This window comes from Homo sapiens, chromosome 8, assembly GCF_000001405.40.
Source record: "Homo sapiens chromosome 8, GRCh38.p14 Primary Assembly".
NCBI lineage: Eukaryota > Metazoa > Chordata > Mammalia > Primates > Hominidae > Homo > Homo sapiens.
Genome location: NC_000008.11, coordinates 132,752,363 through 132,770,312, shown reverse-complemented (window position 1 = coordinate 132,770,312; position 17,950 = coordinate 132,752,363). Strand labels below are relative to the sequence as shown.

The 17,950-nt window shown below is 39.9% G+C and overlaps 1 protein-coding gene across 14 annotated transcripts in view; it reads left to right on the top strand.

The window, feature by feature from the left end:
- TMEM71 (transmembrane protein 71) overlaps positions 1-17,950 on the top strand; it is a 70,161-nt gene that overhangs the window by 5,687 nt on the left and 46,524 nt on the right. For 7 of the 14 annotated variants that reach the window (NM_001382396.1, XM_047421363.1, NM_144649.3 and 4 more), the window contains exons 1-3: positions 9,731-9,837; positions 11,398-11,473; positions 13,019-13,079. In NM_001382396.1, the coding sequence (NP_001369325.1) occupies positions 11,434-11,473; positions 13,019-13,079 (101 nt within the window). In that variant the 5' untranslated portion in view covers positions 9,731-9,837; positions 11,398-11,433. Of the gene's footprint in view, positions 1-9,730; positions 10,022-11,397; positions 11,480-12,262; positions 12,331-13,018; positions 13,080-17,950 lie in introns of those variants that run through there. The other 7 variants (NM_001382405.1, NM_001382404.1, NM_001382402.1 and 4 more) reach the window with 4 other exon arrangements.

Here is a 17,950-nt window from a genome sequence, read left to right as displayed (position 1 = left end):
AAGAAAGAGACTGGAATTTGGACAACAAAATAACTAATATTCAACACAACTGTAACTCCAAATTACAATTTACAGCCATTCAACAAAGCTGAGAATTCTCTTCCTAGCTTGCAAAGTTAGAAAACCAAGCCAAATGAGAGACAAATCTAGTGAGAGATTGACCTAACATTCACATTCCTAATCTGTAGGTGTTTGATTTTAGAGATAGTCTCTACAACGTACAATCCCCATTTCCGTGGATTGTTAAAACTGCAGCAGGAGAGGGTGAGCAACAGAACACAGCAGCTATACAAATTGACAGTCACCAAATGGTGAATACTTTTACTCTCTTAGTGATCATTCTTTTCGTTGAGAACAGAGCTAGCAGCAATTTAGTGGCATCCTGAAATATGGCAGACAACATACATGCATGCATGCAATATTCATTTATTTGCATGCATTCATTCATCATTAATTTATTTGTTTAATCACTTAATGTCTTAGTTTGTGCTGCTATTTAAAAAATACCAGAGACTGGGTAGCTTAAACAAAAGAAATTTATTCCTAACAGTTCTAGAGGCTGGGAAGTCCAAGATCAAGGTGCCAATTGATTTGGTGCCTGGGATTCTTCCTGGTTTGCAGTTGGCTGCCTTCTCACTGTGTCCTCACATGACAGACAGAGATCATCTCTCTCATGTTTCTTCTAAGGGACTAATCTCATTCATGAAGGCTCAACCTTCATTACATAGTTACTTACGAAAGGCCCCACTTCCAAGTACCATTGCATTGGGGATTAGGGCTTCAGTATATTAATTTAGGGGACAGGGAGACACACACAGTCAGTTCACAGCACTCAACAAACTCTTTTTGAATTCTTACCTAATGCTAGAGACTGGGTGATGTAGAGTAAGGGAACAGGAAGAAAAATAAAATTAGATACCCATTCAAAGTTGACTTGTCATGATGCAGATATGGATACAGAAACAACTAAACACAATATGAAGCTAAATATAAATCATTTTGAAATAAAGATACTATTGGAATATGGTCATTCTGACTCGACAAATCAAGAAAGACAGCATAGAAGAAGAAACATTCAAAATATGCTTTGAAGGATGAGTAAGCTTCAAATAAGAGTTCTATGCAGACTTTATAATTATTAATGCCTTACACTTCTTTATAGTTTCAATTCAAGAACTGACAAATGAAAATATTCTACTTCCATTTCTTTTCCACATGCGTTTATTGAACATCTGTGGTGTGCCAAGCACACAGCACTAGTTTCAGGGAGCATAAGGGATAAGCTTAATTCCTGATCATTGTTAAGACATTTAACAATGTAGACATGTAGACAAACATGCAAACAGATAACTTCAATACATTGTAAGTGTTAGTGTGGAAGAATGTGCAGGGTCAGCATTTGGGCTCTAACTGGTCACTCACAATTTGTCTAAATGTCTGGCCTCTTGGCCAGGACCAGAAAGCAATAACACTATCTCCAAGGTAATTGTGGACATTCAAATGAAATAATTCCCCTTCTGCAGGAGGGAGAGGGAGCAGGGAAGGGGCAGATAATTTGTCAGCACAAGCATTGCACAGCTCGTGGTTTGCCTTAGTCAAAGTATTGAGGCAACACACCCTTGTGGTCAAGTATCGGATTACTTCCTCTTTTGGATTTTGCAAAACATTCAACAGAGCCAGTTTCACCAGAATGAGGAGAAACACCCTTTGGTTTTCCTTCTTTTCTCTCCTATTTTTTTTTTATAACTATGTTGTCTTCAAAAAATGCTACAATTGAAAATGAACCCTGAGCAAACAGTAGGGATATACATATAGCATTTTTGAGGGACAGAATTCTAGTTGCGGGAAATATCCTATAAATCCTAAAAAGACACATTAGCAGCAAATGATCTGCCTGCCTCAGCCTCCCAAAGTGCTGGGATTACAGACGTAAGCCACCGTGCCCTGCTGAACACAACATTTTTTAAAGTAAAAGAGAGGAATGTAAATATTTGTGACCAAAGGAAATTTGAGAACACCAAGTATAAGAAAATCAAATCTAAAGGCAAATAATGAAAGTACTACAATGAATTTAACGATGTGGAAATTGTAGATTCTAAAAAGCAGGACAAAGCATCCAAAATCTCATTCTCTATCACTACCTGGACATGAACTATTCCAGTGTTATTACAAGGAAATTGAGGTGAGTCAGTTTAAATAAATCAAATCTAGCCTGTTTGGCCACTTTTCTGATTTCTGTGTCCTTTCTTAGTACATCACTTATAATTTAATTATTGTCATATTCTCTAAATACTAGTATATGTAATCCCCATCCCTACCCCCATATTACGTATAAGTAACATAATTGCTTAATGGCATTGTGATCTCGCAATGTCATCACAACTCATACCGCCAACATAATCTTTTTCTCATAAAGCTAAAGAGTTTGAAAGTTCTTCAGAGACATGCCCATGAATTATTCACCCGACACAGGACAGATGCCTAAGCAACAGGTTGTCCAATAAGCTCAAGCTGCTAGCAGTCAAAAACGAAGAGCTAGGCCGGGCGCGGTGGCTCACACCTGTAATCCCAGCACTTTGGGAGGCCAAGGCGGGCAGATCATGAGGTCAGGAGATCGAGACCATCCTGGCCAACATGGTGTGAAACCCCGTCTCTACTAAAATACAAAAAATTAGCTGGGCATGGTGGTGCGCACCTGTAGTCCCAGCTACTCAGGAGGCTGAGGCAGGGGAATTGCTTGAGCCCGGGAAGCAGAGGTTGCAGTGAGCTGAGATCGTGCCACTGCACTCCAGCCTGGCAACAGAGCAAGACTCTATCTAAAAAAAAAAAAAAAACCAAAGAGGTAGGTATGTCTCAAAACAATTATAAGCATGAATATTGACACAGGAAGCTGACTGGAATCAAATGCATGAAAAGTTGTTGATATGTTCTTAGAATAGAATGTACAGTCAAAGAGGTACCAGCTTGGTATCAAAGAGATTATGACAACTAAAAATTTCAAAGTTATCTTCCCATTTGCTAACTTCTACAAGCAGAAAGTAAGTTGAGAAGGTTGCTCTGCCCCCAAGAAACGCATATTCTCTAATCTTCAGAGGAGGCCGAGGAGAGTAATGGAAAAGGAATACTTTTACTTTCCAGAGGGCAGAAACAAGAGCCACAGTTGCCTGAGTTAATACCCCTGAGGAGCAGAATTAGAGCTCTATCAAGGAACATTCCCTATTCACAGGGTACAAGGCTTTTGTAACAACTGATCAAACTGATCATTCCGTTTCAGAATAGCCCCATTACTCTTTTGCTAAATAGGAGAAGTTTTGATGGAAGTTACTCCATCTCTGTTCTGGTATTGAATGTTGAACATACAGGCTAAGATGTTTTAGAAGTCTTTGTATCAAGAGAAACCACATTGATGTAGAGATTATTATGGGATTCTGGACTGGAAGTCTGTTGCCATGATTAAATAAGATTTTGGCGTGTTCTCTGGAAAGATGAAGTGAAAACAGCATCTTTTTTATTTTTATTTTTTTTTTTTAGACAGAGTCTTGCTCTGTTGCCCGGGTTAGGGTACGCAATGTTGGCTCACTGCCACCTCCGCCTCTCTTGCTCAAATGATCCTACTGCCTCAGCCTCCTGAGTAGTTGGGACCACAGGCTTAAGCCACTACACCTGGCTATTTTTTGTAGAGACAAGGTTTCCTCATGTTGCCCAAGCTGGTCTTGAACTCCTGAGCTTAAGTGATCCGCCTACCTCGGCCTCCCAAGATGCTGGGATTGTAGGCATAAGCCACCGTGCCTAGCTGAATACAGCATTTTTTTTTAAAGTAAAAAGGAGGAATCTAAATATTTGTGACCAATGTGGAGGGCTGTAGTAAATTATACAACAATTCCCAGTTCTTCCTTTCCCCCCCGCCCCCCATGTACTTCTGATATACATCTACCCATCACCCTATGACTTACAGTGCTTCCCCCTGGAGGTGTGTACTTCCCTATCCTGATGGCATTGAACTTGACCATGCAATATGCTTTGACCAAGGAAATATGGGTAGAAATTTCAGATGTCAGCTCTGAAAAGCTTTAAAAGCCATTATGTATTTCTGACAGCCCTCCTGTTCTCTTCCCTCTGCCGCAAGAAAGGGAAGTCCCTCACAAGGGGTACTGCCTCCAGGAATGATGGCACAAGGAGCAAAGCTACAGCCAACTTGCAGTTAACACAGGTCAAGATATGTTAGATTCGGCAGGGTGCGGTGGCTCATATCTGTAATCCCAGCATTTTGGGAGGCTGAGGCAGGTGGATCACCTGAGGTCAGGAGATGAAGACAAGCCTGGCCAACATGGTGAAACCCCATCTGTACTAAAAGATACAAAAATTAGCTGGTGGCGGGTGCCTGTAATCCCAGCTACTCAGGAGGCTGAGGCAGGAGAATCTCTTGAATCTGGGAGGCAAAGGCTGTAGTGAGCCGAGATCGTGCCACTGCACTCTAGCCTGGGCGACAGAGTGAGACTCTGTCTCAAAAGACAATAATAATAATAATAATAATAGTAATAATAATAATAAAAAGATGTGTTAGATTCAAGTAGAGAAGCAGAACCACTAGGAATGATCCAGAATTGCAATTGTGTAAAATAGAGATTGAACCTTGTATAATTATGGACACTGGTAAGCGAGCTCAGTTTGGCTGTTTCTTAGGAGGGGTGCTGAGCCTGAAATCACTAGACAGTTGGTCAGTATCAAAAGATGGACAAGAAGCAGAGGAGAGCAGGGAAAACTGGAATCCACAAAGAACCATCTGGAACACGCATCTGTCTATCACCAAAAGCCATATAGGCCTTTTCCTATCTCTGAGACTCTACCCTCATTGCCGGGTATACTCTAAACAGAAGCTGGCATTCTTTCTGCAGAGCCACACCCTCTCCTCTACTAGGACTTGTAAAATGGAAGGAAGTGATCTGCAGGGACTGGAGCTTTGGGCCGAGTCCTTACATCAAGCCAGCAGGTCTGTGGAAACGTGCATGAGCTTGCCGCAAAGTCTAACTTTCGGGGACCTTCCAAAAATACACACAGCTTCAGCTCCACTTTCATCTTCCAAATCTCGCACAAGTTGCTTTTAGGGCCTATCTTAACCAGGAGCATGCAAAAAAGGAATTCTGAGAAATGTAGGTTCACTTGGCCAAGTTAACATATTACAAAGCCATCAAGTGGGAAAATAAAAGCTTACTGCTGTATGCCACTAAGGCTTGAAGGTTGATTTTTACTGTGGCATAACTGTTATGATAAAATTGCTAGCTTCCAACTCCTTCTAGATTAGTAGCCTGTCCAGGCTTTGGCCCATATATCTCCTTCTGGCCCTTGTGTGCTATGTGTGGCAGAGAACCTAGCCAGACTTGGATGATAAAAAATCTTATTCACATATTATTAAGTGCCTACTATGATAATGATAGAAACCGTAATAGCAAACTAGAAAAGCATTCTCCTTATTCTCTGAGATCTCACAGTGTAGCAGGAGGAACCAACATGGACAGAAACTTGGCTCATTAGTTCCAATTGTGATGCATCCTCTGAAAGGAAAGCGCAGACAGCTATGGGATCCATAACCTGGTCTGGGAGGGTCAGAGAGGCTGCTCAGAGAAAAAGCTCTTTCAGAAAGAGATGGGAGATGAAGAAAATAGCACATTCCAAGGGCCTGAGGTGGAGCAAAGCTAGAGAAGCTGAAAGGAAGCCAGCATGGTTGAATTCTAAAAAGACAGATGGGGCCTGTTGAGGGAACAATGAGGCTGAAAAATAGTCAAGTCCAGACCCTACCAGGCCTGGCAGGCCATGAAGAGGATTTTGAACTTCACAGGAGAGAGGAGCAAGGGCAAGCACTGATGAATTTAATCAGGGGAGTGACATAATCAGATATTCTATTGGAGAGGTCATTCTGACCATGGCTTGGGGAGTGTATTGGAGAGAGGCCAAGTGACTTTGGCATGTTGGCATGGAAGTCCAGGCAACAAGTGCAATACACACACACACACACACACACACACAACCTCCCAGTTCATATTTTTCATTATGTAATGTACCTTATTGATAGCTATTATTATATGGCTTATGCATACTGATTTGATGTAGCTGGAGCCCTAGAGCAGATAGTGGAGATGGAGACTTAGATGATAAGCCTAAGAGCTACATGAAGAGGAATCAAGATTTCAAGTCCGTGTTCAAAAGCTACATGGAGAGGAGTCGCAATTTCTCCCAGTTTTCTGGCATGAGTGATTGGGTGGAAGATATTGCCATCTAATGGGACACAGTGTTCCAGAGCAGGATGAGGCTTGGGTAGGAAGAGAGATCATGAGTACATGAGGGATTTAAGGAAGCATGCAGACATGTTTGTTCGTTGTTTGTAGTGTGTTAAAATTAAATTTGTCAAGTCCATCAATTTATGTCAGCATTTCCTAACATGAGTTCTTTAGCATTCCGCCTGTCAAAGAGTATCTTAGGGACTAACAGTTTTGGCTTTACGTGGGAGCTGATATGAAACACTGTCTCCAATTCCCTCACTTCTGTAAGATCCTCTGTGATTCATTTGCAACACATGAACGTTTGCAACACATAGCTCTGGAACTGGGGTCTTGGGAGATATTATGTGACCAAAAGATTCTCAAGGCAAATAATTTTGACAGATGGTGAGACCATGTTTCCTGTGTATAGTAGCAAGTCCGAGTATCATTTAAAAGATTCTATAGTGACCTCTATTAGAGACCTATGCTTTCTAGAACTTTTTGTACTGAAATTTGCCACTCGTCTTTTCCCCATCCACACGCATCACCTCCATTAACAGTGGAGGACTGAATATTCTGTGGAACATGCTTTTAGAAACATTGATTTATAACATGCAGAATAAAGGTTCTGAAGGCAAGTCTACCTGGATGTAATTAATTTATTTGTTAATTCCACAAACATTAATTGATAACCTACTATATGGGAAGCACTACTCTTGATACTTGGGCTATTAAAATGAAGCAAAATGACAATATTCTCTGCTCTTTTAATGCTCATGTTCTGGCTGAGGAGTACGTTTCTTATTACAAGGAATGAATTGTGTGACATATTCCTTGGTAAAAAGTGCTAAGGAGAAGAATAAAGCAGGAAGAGACTAGGGAGTGGTGTGGAGGGCAATTAATTAGTAGCAAGGCAGTGGAGAAAAGAGCTGAGGGAGGGGAGGAAGAAAGCCCTGTGACCCTTAGGGTGAGGGAACACTAACCTCAAAGATCTTGAAGTAGACCCGTGTCTAGTGTATGAGAAACAAGAAGAAGATGAGTGGGTCTCAAGAGAGAAGATTGAGAGGGGAACCATAGGTTTGGAATTTAGTTCTGGCCATTGGCAATTTTGAAAGATTTATGCAAACTCTATAAACCTCTGTCCTGCATGTGGATAACAATTGCACTTATTTTCTAGGGCTACGTGAGGTTGAAACAAGATTACATATGTACAGTGTTTAGTGCAGTGCCTGGTTTGTAGAAAATGCTGACACACGTTGGATATGATCATTACACTTATAGGTTAAGAAAGCAAACTCGAGAGCCATCTCATCAGGGTTTGAATCCTAGCTCTACTTACTCATCACGTACTGGCTATGTGAATTTGGGCAACTCTCTAAACTCAGTTTGCTCTTCTGTAAAATGAGAATAATAATACAGCATCTCCCATGGAATTGATGTAACAATTAATGTGTTGATATGTGGAAAGACCTTAGAACAGTGCCTGGTACATAGTAAGCACTCCTTAAAGTTAGCAATTATTATGATCATTAATAATAAGGTTCTAATATGTGCCAGATCTTTAAAAAAAAAAAAAGTAGACCAAAGTCTTTCTGATGTGAGCTCTTCGGAAAAGTGGATTTGTGGGCACAGGAAGAGCAGAGGGTCTCGAATAAGTCAGAAAGATTTTCCTCCCTCATCTAGAAGAGATAAGCCAAGGCTGGAAGAGGGAGGATGAGGGATAAGAAAAACAGGAAAAGGAGAAGAAGAGAACTGTGAATTCCAGTAAAGAGAATACCAGACAGCTGTGAAGCAGAATAGCTGTCTGTTAAATTTAGGCAGATGTGACCAGGAGTAGCCTTGAGTAAATGTGACTATATTCTACAGGAGTCACTAAAGCAGCAGAGAGTCAGCAATGACAGATGGCTCAGGAAGTGACCTGTGTTAGGACTATGCATCTGCTATGTGTTGCTGTGTAACAAATTACCTCAAAACGTGGTGGCTTGAAATACCATTTGTCACTTCCCAGTTTGCGTGGGCCAGGGAGCTGGGCAGGGCTAGCCTGGGTTGTCTGCTTCTGGGTCTTTCCCAGTTCCAATCGAGCATTAGATGGGGCTGCAGTCAGCTCAAGGCTCAACTGGAGAAGGATCCACTTCCAAGCTCACACACTTGGTTTTTGGCTGGATTCCTGGCTGTTGGATGGAGCATCAGACCCTTACTGGCTTTTGAGACCACTCTTGATTCCTTGACACATGGGCTTCTCCACCATGGCAGCTTGCTTCATCAAAGCAGGCAAGCAAGAAAGTAATAGAGTCCAACAAGATGGAAGCCTCATCATGGTAGTGGAAACTCAGCACCTTTGCCTTACTTTATTTACAAGGAGCATGTCAGCAGCCTCAGTCTACACTCAAGGGATGGAGAATAGACATGAAGTTCCAGAGACAGAGAACTTTGAAATTAGATGGGCCCTCCTCCTGACAGTTCCTGCTGCCTAGAACATGTTCTACAGAAGATCCTGCCATGTGGCAGAACCTCAGGGGGAAAGGGAACCCCAGGAAAGGATGAGATTAACTTTTCCGCCAGCCGGACCAACTGGTGCCTCAGAAGAGAACTTGATTTAAGAAAACAAATAAAGAATACACCTTGCACATCTGTGCTGAGGACTCGATTATTTCTCATTTCTTTTATTTCATTTAATTCTTCAAGCCATCATATGACATATATATTTTTATGTTTATAATTGAGAAAACTGCAACTCAGAGGGGTAAGTCACAAATCTGAGGTCACACAGCTAGGATGGTAGACAGGTTGAATTTCTGTCTTGTGACCCCAGAATCCGCACTCTTTCCACTATGCAGTGGTACCTCAATGTTGCTGGAATATATATTTGAATGTACATTTCTTTTATCACTTACAGTAGTACAGATGTGTATGAACCCATAAACACCATCAAGTCTTTGAGCTCTACTATAATGTAAATGTAAAATGCCATCTATAGAGTTTTTTGTGAAGTCCAACCTTCATTAGATAAACCTATTGCCTCTATAGAAATTTTCATAAGATCAAGCTCTTGCTATTTAATAGTATTCTGAATTTAATAGCATCAGTGCATTATCCTCAATAAATTTAAGTGATTTGGACAAAGATCACTACTCTGCACTACTTATAACTGAATGTGGCCATATGATGAGCAAGAAATGTCAGTTCGCTGAGTCTTTCTCACGTTCTCGCAGCCAAAGGTGACAAGTTAGCTCAGAAAACCACCCCTCCAGTGACCAGGGTGTAACCAGCTGGCCTGACACATGGGCTGCACATTCCCTGCTGCTGGCCCAGGAAACTCTCTGAAATCTTCAGCACACTCCTCAGTGTGAATGCCACTGATGTGAGCCCAACAGGAAGTGTGACCTCATTCTGCTTCTTTGCCTCTGGTTACGCAGGCTGTTTTCAAAAGAAAACAAGAGAAGTTGTAAGACTGACTTTCCCAAGAACTATACACTCATTTATACCAGGAAACAGACAAGAGAACAAGAGGCTGCCGAAGACAAAACTTCTCTGCAAGCACCTGTGCACAGCAATGTGCGTGGGCATCTGTGAGAAGAAGGTAGGGTGGGATTCCCTTTATTAAGAGACTTCTGCACCTGTTGACATTCAGACATTTTTCAGCCGAGGAACTGCTCAGTCCTCAATTTTTCCACTGTCAACCACAGGAAGCTTCGTATTTCAGTAATAATTTTGTCCTTTGTCAATTGGAAGAAGAGGCTGGGAACTCCCTTTGGAAGGAACACGTATGCACACATTATTTTTCAGAATAGATGTGTCGCTTTGATGGAACTGGCAGATTCTGTTTCTTGAAAAGTTTTAGATCTGTAACTGAAGGGCTTTTTTTTTTCCTACTGTTACTAATTTTCTATTGAATGTCAGTGTACTGCCTGTAGATTCTTCTAAGCACTTGTGAGATAGAGCAATAAGACCTTCTTTTGCTGCAGGATTTATAGGCTTAAAATTAAGCTTAATACTTGGGGAACACTAAAATAAGGTAATTTGGGCTGGGCATACCCGTACAATATTGATCAAAAATGAAAAGAACAAGTAACATACTAATATATTACATTACACTGGGATTATTTTATATCCCAAACAAATGAAATTTGTAAATGTGTGCTTTGATTTAGAAATCTTCCAAGGAAGGCCAGAAAGTTCTCCTGACATCTTTACAGGTCTCTATAAACCAGGTTTATATTTTCCTAATAGGGTTTATATATAATTTATTGAAATATTCAACTTGAAGCTGTAGAATTAGCCTGGTTTGATTGATTGAATTACAGCTACAAAAACAATCCATTACTAGTTCTCATGTTACAAAATGTGGCCATAAGTGGTGAATCAGAAAATAATTTACTCCTACCTTATAAAGCGATTAGGATAGTGATACTATATACAAAGTTTCATAGTCAACAGAAGTTGGTTCTATTTGATGAACAGTAAATGATCAAAGTTTGCATAATTTACATACTTTGATATGTTTTTAATTAGTAATTGAGAAATTAAATCATGTCTTCATGGGAACTAAGTTCTAAAATCTTCCCAATGGTATGCTATCTTTAGTGCAACATTACTTATGCTGTTTAGGAATGTCCAGGCTGATAAAAACTATTAAAATCACTCTCTGTGACTACCTGTCAATGGTTCAAGTTGTTGGGAAAAAGACAGACACCAATCTCCAAGCACTGTTTGAAACTTGATAATGAAGTTGACTTGTGTCAGATGATTAAAATACACGTAAGTTTGTTTTGGGGCTAAATGACTGTTAGAACCAGTCATTTTATTAAGATTTCTTAATCAAATACCTCACTTTCATTATTTTCTTTGGATTACAAATCAACCTTTTTAAGTCTAGATTTTCCAAATAAAGTGTGGTTCTTATTTACAGAAAAATGTTATTGAGATGCACTGAGTGAGGCAATGGAAAATGTTCAGTCATAGAGGCAGACACAACTTTAGAGGGGTTGTGTCTTCAGTCTGGTCTCCTACCTTCAATTCTGTATCTCTGTATTATTTCAGTAAACAAATCTGACTAGTGCAATTAGTAGATGCCATCTGTTTTGGCATAATTTTTCTATTTTTAATATATAGTCCACCTTTTTTTTAACATCTTTTGCAGAGAATCTGTGAAGTTTGAGCAAGCGGCCTTCCCAAGATGTACCGAATATCTCAACTGATGTCAACACCAGTAGCAAGTAAATGTAGAAGAACTGTGATACGCAATTATCTTTTGAACGATTAGACTCCTTTTAGCAATTTCCTTGCTTTGATTTTGCTGATACTCAGACCATTAACCATCTGTCAGTAGCTTGTGCTTCTTAAATGCCAGTGTTCACTTTGGCAATGATTTTAACTTCATTTTTTTCCTTGAAAGAAATGTGGTATTTTTCCTTCTAGTAGAAAAAAAAAAATCACCGTTTTTTTTTAGATGCCTGTGCATAAATGTGAAAGGAGATTGTTTATCAGCTACTATTAAGATGCAAAACTGTTTGTATATAAAAAATGCTGAATGATTTTGATAGCTACTTGCAGAAAATAAGAGCGCTGTTAAAACGGTAGTGGTTTCAAGTTTCTTCCTTCCTCTTGTTATTTTCTCCCAAAACCCCACTTCTAACTCTCCCTCACACACCCACAGTTTTCTCCCTACAAATCAACCAGCCCAATCTGAAAGTCTAAATTCCTTTCTTTGTCCTAGATACTAATTGTCCATAATGGAATCAAATTTCACTAGCTTGTCTGTTAGGACTATTGACACCATCTCTGCACACGATAAAATTCTGCTTTAGAGTTTAGAATATTAATCAACTCCAACTTTCTCCAAGTAAAGTCTGTTGCCACGCCTTTGGTTAAAATGGAACGAATGAATGGATGATGTTTCTATAATTAAGAATACTCACAGTCTTTATACTTTGGAAAAATGTTATATAAAACAAAACAAAACTTTATTTCTTCCCCACTAATGTCTTTTGCTCATTATTTTACAGTAGAAGTGTCTTAATATGCACTAATGAGGGAGAGTCTAGAACAATGATTGAATTCCTCAGATTACTGAGTAAGCTGCAATAACCAACACATTGGGTAATTGATTTGGGTTTTCTCCTGCTTCACACAAGACGTTTTTTCCCATCCTTACATGAGCTCAGTTTGATGCTAATGATTTATTATTGCCTCATTCTGCACTAAGAAATTTTTTTTTTTTTTTTTTTTTTGAGACAGAATCTTGCTCTGTCGCCCAGGCTGGAGTGCAGTGGAGCGATCTCAGCTCACTGCAAGCTCTGCCTCCCAGGTTCACGCCATTCTCCTGCCTCAGCCTCCCCAGTAGCTGGGACTGCAGGCGCCCACCACCACGCCCTGCTAATTTTTTGTATATTTTAGTAAAGACGGGGTGTCACCGTGTTAGCCAGGATGGTTTAGATCTCCTGACCTTGTGATCCGCCCGCCTCGGTCTCCCAAATTCTGAGATTACAGGAGTGAGACACTGCGCCCGGAACTTCTAGAGTGTTATGTGGATGAAGGAACAGAAGATAGAAGCCTCTAGTTTATGTCTTGCTTCCGGTAGATCCCTGGTGATAAGGGTACCTGCACTACTGGAGTCTTCCTGCTGAAGCTGGAACATCAGCTATTCCCATCTTCTTACATGCCTCCACTGTTTGCAATTATACATATTGATACATGTATCAACATATGTAACTGTTGATCAGGTATGATACATTCTACTTCTCTCTCATTTGTTTATGCAGGTTCTTCCAGGTTGGAAAGAGAATATGCTGGAGAGCTGTCTCCCACGTGCATTTTCCCAAGGTATACTATGGGGCTTCTTTTAAAAAAATAATCATTCTGGCCGGGCGTGGTGGCTCATGCCTGTAATCCCAGCACTTTGGGAGGCCGAGGCAGGCGGATCACGAGGTCAGGAGATGGAGACCATCCTGGCTAACACGGTGAAACCCCGTCTCCACTAAAAATACAAAAAAAAAAAAAAAATCAGCGCTGCGTGGTGGCGGGCCCCTGCAGTCCCAGCTACTTGAGAGCCTGAGGCGGGAGAATGACGTGAATCCAGGAGGCGGAGCTTGCGGTGAGCCGAGATCCCACCACTGCCCTCCAACCTGGGCGACAGAGAGAGACTTGTCTAAAAAAAAAATCATTCTTCGCTGGGCATGGTGGCTCACCCCTGTAACCCCAGTACTTTCGGAGGCCGAAGTGGGTGGATCACCTGAGGTCAGGAGTTTGAGTCCAGCCTGGGTAAAACATGGTGAAACCTTGTCTCTACTAAAAATACAAAAATTAGCCGGGCATGATGGTATGTGCCTGTAATCTCAGCTACTCGGGAGGCTGAGGTGGGAGAATCACTTGAACCTGGGAGGCAGAGGTTGCAGTGAGCCAAGACTACACCACTGCACTCCAGCTTGGGCAACAGAGCGAGTCTCAAAATAATAATAATTATTATTATATTATTATTATTATTTTCCTGTATGTCTTGCTTTGTTGTATTATTGGTTTGAAATTATTATTTTAGCTATCATCTAGTTTTGAAAGGTTATTTCTTTTTGGTGCCATGTACATACTAAATAAAAACTTGCCTAATAGAATAATGAATATATATATATATATATATATATATATATAATATATATGTTAGTGTCAATATATGGGCAGTTGTGAATTGTTTCTCTGGTGAGTGGTGAAACTATTGAATACTGATGAATTGTTACTTTGTCTCAATCTGATGTCTTTTTAAATATGCTTTCCTATCTTGTTTTACAAGAGCAACAGAATTCTATACCAATGGCCGAATTTTATGCTCTACCAAAACATGTGCAGTCTACCATTTTCTTGAAGTACTACAAGGAAGTCTTTTTTCTTTCTTTTTTTAATGACTCTCTGACTGTCTCTTATTCCTTATACAGACATCAGTTGATGTTTCCCCTAGCATTGTGAAATGTGCCTATAGCATAAACAGATCATATATTCATTTTAGGACCTGCTCCTTCTTGTAAATTGTAGGCCTCCTGATACTAGCAAACGAATCAATATGAACAGAGGCACATGTGGAAAGAATCCATGTTTTAGAGTCAGATAGACTAGGCTTCATATCATAGCTCTGCCACTTACTAGCTATGTAAAATATCCAAGTAATTTGCTGTTTTTGTAAATCATTTTTTCCTGCTATATGATGAGGATAATGATACTTAGCTTGTAGAGATTTGTGAAGAGTAGATAAAGGGCAAAATAGGGGGCCAGGCTCATGCTAAGTGTTCAATAACTCTCATTAATTTGAAACAGTATTTTATTACAGGGCTGAGTGCATATATTCATTGTATATAAGCTTTTAGATGTAAAAATATCAGAAATTCAGTAGAGCATTTGGCAGATGTGTAGAAGGATGAGAGACCTTCTGTAATCTATCAGTGTGTAATCATCTAACATTTTTTAATGGTCCTAATGATATTTGTCCTTTCACCAACCAGTCTTTGTCCTATCCTAGGAGGCATGATTTAGGCTCTTCTAAGGCCTAGTCAGTAACCTCACAAGAAAAGAAAGGGCTTTGTCTTTGGGCAGTTGGGCTTGTTGCTGGACTTTGCTGTGGGATTGGACTTTAGAAACCAATTGGAAAGGACCTGCTAAAAACGAATCCACTACTAAATTTATTAGAGCAGAATGAAGCAAGAGTCAAGATCTAGAGAAAATTTTGTTATCTGCTCTAAAGGTTTGATATTGTTCAGAGGGGTCCTTTTTTTAAACTATGATCCAGGTGTTGGAAGAGTGTCTTCATTTCGTTTACAATCAAGAGAGGATAGATAAAGGTAGGGGCATTATAAAGGAAAGATGCCAGGGGATTAGGGAGGCTACAGTTGATAACTGTTGAATGTTGAAGACTTGGAAATTGGAGTGCAGATAGAAATACAGGTCCAGAACTCTGAAACCTCGTAAGCGTCCAGCACCATATAGTTGCCCCATTAATTCTCACAGAGGCAAAAGGATGTAGAAGAAAGAGCACTAGAGTAGGAGAAAAAAAGATCTAGATTTTTACCTTGCCTCTCCCACTTGTAAGCCGTCAGTTATTGAACAATGAATTTAACCTACTGGAGCCTCCATTTTCATATTTATTAATAGGGGTAAGAAGAACCAAAATGTGCTGTTAAAGTGGGTCAGTGCATGTCTGGAAATAGTCCCTTTTGATGTTTCCAAAGTCTCAAATTTCTACCTGTACTATTCAATATTTTTATCAATGATTTGGATTGAGGACATAGAGATTCCAGGGATAACATATTTGTATGACATCATGTAAATGTATTAAAAGTTTTGTGTAACATAATCAGAATCCCTCAAAATTCTAACAGCACAAAATGAATAGCCATTCAAATAGTAGCCAACATATTTAGCTTACCACCCTTAGGCAATGGAAAGCATAGGCATTAACAACCTCCATTAAATTATGACATTAAATATTTATAGAAATCTATGAGGTTTATTTTGGTTGATCTTTACTGCACAGATTCACATTTGTTAAAAACAACAACAACAATAACAACAACAACTAAACCTTGGAGAGAATAATTAGCAAGAGGTAGAGCCAGGATTGAAACCAAGGGTATAAACCTAGCTCTATCTGCAAAGTCTTAATTACATATTGACCTTGTAATATAAAATTGGTCCAAAAGTCTAAGAGAGGAAAGGTACATCTAAATATACAGGAAAAAGACTAGAAATCGATAGTTTATTTAGATGAGATCAGGCACGTTCAGGGTGGTATGGCCATAGACTTGATAGTCTATTTAATAGTGTGATAATATGTTGGTAACTGGAGGGAAAAAAAAGAATCAAGCTAATGTGACTTAAGCTTCATTGCTAAAGACATGGATTCTATAATGAGGGAGGTGATAGTCCCTATATCCCTTGGGCAGACACACCTAAAGGGCTGGGTTCTATGGTTGGCATGATATTTAAGAGGAACTCTAAAAAGTGGAGAATACTCAGAGAAAAGCCATCAAACTATGATAGCTAAGGGATCAAAACTACATCATGTCATGTAAAGATGAATTAAATGAACTGGAGGGCTTTTAGTATGGAGAAGTGAGGACCCAGGGAGGACATGGAAACTCTCTTTAAATAGCTGAATAGATCTCAAATGGAAGATAGAAGGAACAGAAAAGGAAGGGAAAGAAAAGAAGGGAGGAAGTGAACATTTATTAAGCCCATACTAGGTGCTAAGCACAGACCATTTATTTCATTATTTAATTATTAAGATAACCCGATAATGGAGATTTTTTTCTCGTTTTACAGATAAGGAAACAGTCTGAGAGGCTAAGTGACTGGATTAATGTTACTCACCTAAGCAATGACAGAGTTGGAATTATGGGCTTAGAGGGGGATTGACTTCAGATTCCCTGTCTTGTCCACTATGCTGCAGTCCATATTTGTTCAGTGAAGGGTTGTGGGGGTGCTTAGTAAGTGTGGGGTCCTTCTTACTGAAGGTGTGCATGCAGAGACGGGACAATGTTTGTCGGAAATACAGCAGATGGAACAAGCAGAATTTGGTGGGGCTGCAGACATGACCGCCAAAACTCCTGATTCTTAGAATCTGTGATTTTCTGGAAGCATATGGTCCCAATTTATGCAATTAAGTGGAATACATAATATGTAGAAATTACTGAAAACATCAAGGTAAAGAGCACATGAGAGCTATTATACTATCAGTGCTGTTAATTGATTCACAAAAAACCACCCCAAGAATTCAAATATATTCAGACAATATATATTTTCATAGGTTTTACCAGATTTCCATAGCCTGTCAGGTGATTTCGTTCAGTAACTGGCATTGAGTTTATTTACATACTGAACATTTTTTAGGCTTACAGTATCTGCCCTCCAGTAATGTATAAAATAATTACTGAGGCAGACATACATACACAAAAATCACAGTGAGATTAGCTGGGGTTTAGGACAAAGAGAAATAATTTTTAAGGGAGAAAAGAGGGAAAAAAACCAAGCAGTTTTGAAGAAAGAACACATAACATATTCTTTTCTCCAACATGGCTCTGTTACTATTGTCACCAGGCTTCCACCAAAGCTCACCTCAAGAAACTTTGCATTTATGAAACATTTTCACAATAATTTGGTTGCCTTTCAATTATAGGGCCATGTGATTCCTTCCTTCCTTCCTTCCTTCCTTCCTTCCTTCCTTCCTTCCTTCCTTCCTTCCTTCCTTTCTTCCTTCCCTTCTTCCTTTCTTCCTTTCTTTCCTTCTCTCTCTCCCTTTTTTTTTTCTCTCTCTCTCTTCTTCCTTCCTTTAGATACAGGGTCTTTGCTATGGTGCCCAGGCTGGAGTGCAGTGGCTATTCACAGGCATGAATAGCACACTGCAGCTTCGAACTTCCTGGGCTAAAGGGATCCTCCTGCCTTAGCCTTCTGAGTAGCTGGGACTATAGGCACATGCCACCACGCCTAACTCAATGTGATTGCTTTTTAAAACTAAGACACATATAGATTTACTCAAGGAATTATGGGCCTTCCCTGGATACCAAATCAGGGAAGGTAACTGTGTGCCCATTTGTACAGCCAGCCTGGAGGGAAATTTGCAAAGGCCAAAAATGATCATTTTGACTGCATGTTCACCGTGTTTCTGGTGGCTACATAGTTATAATGTGTCACTACAGTGACAAGATTAAAGATCT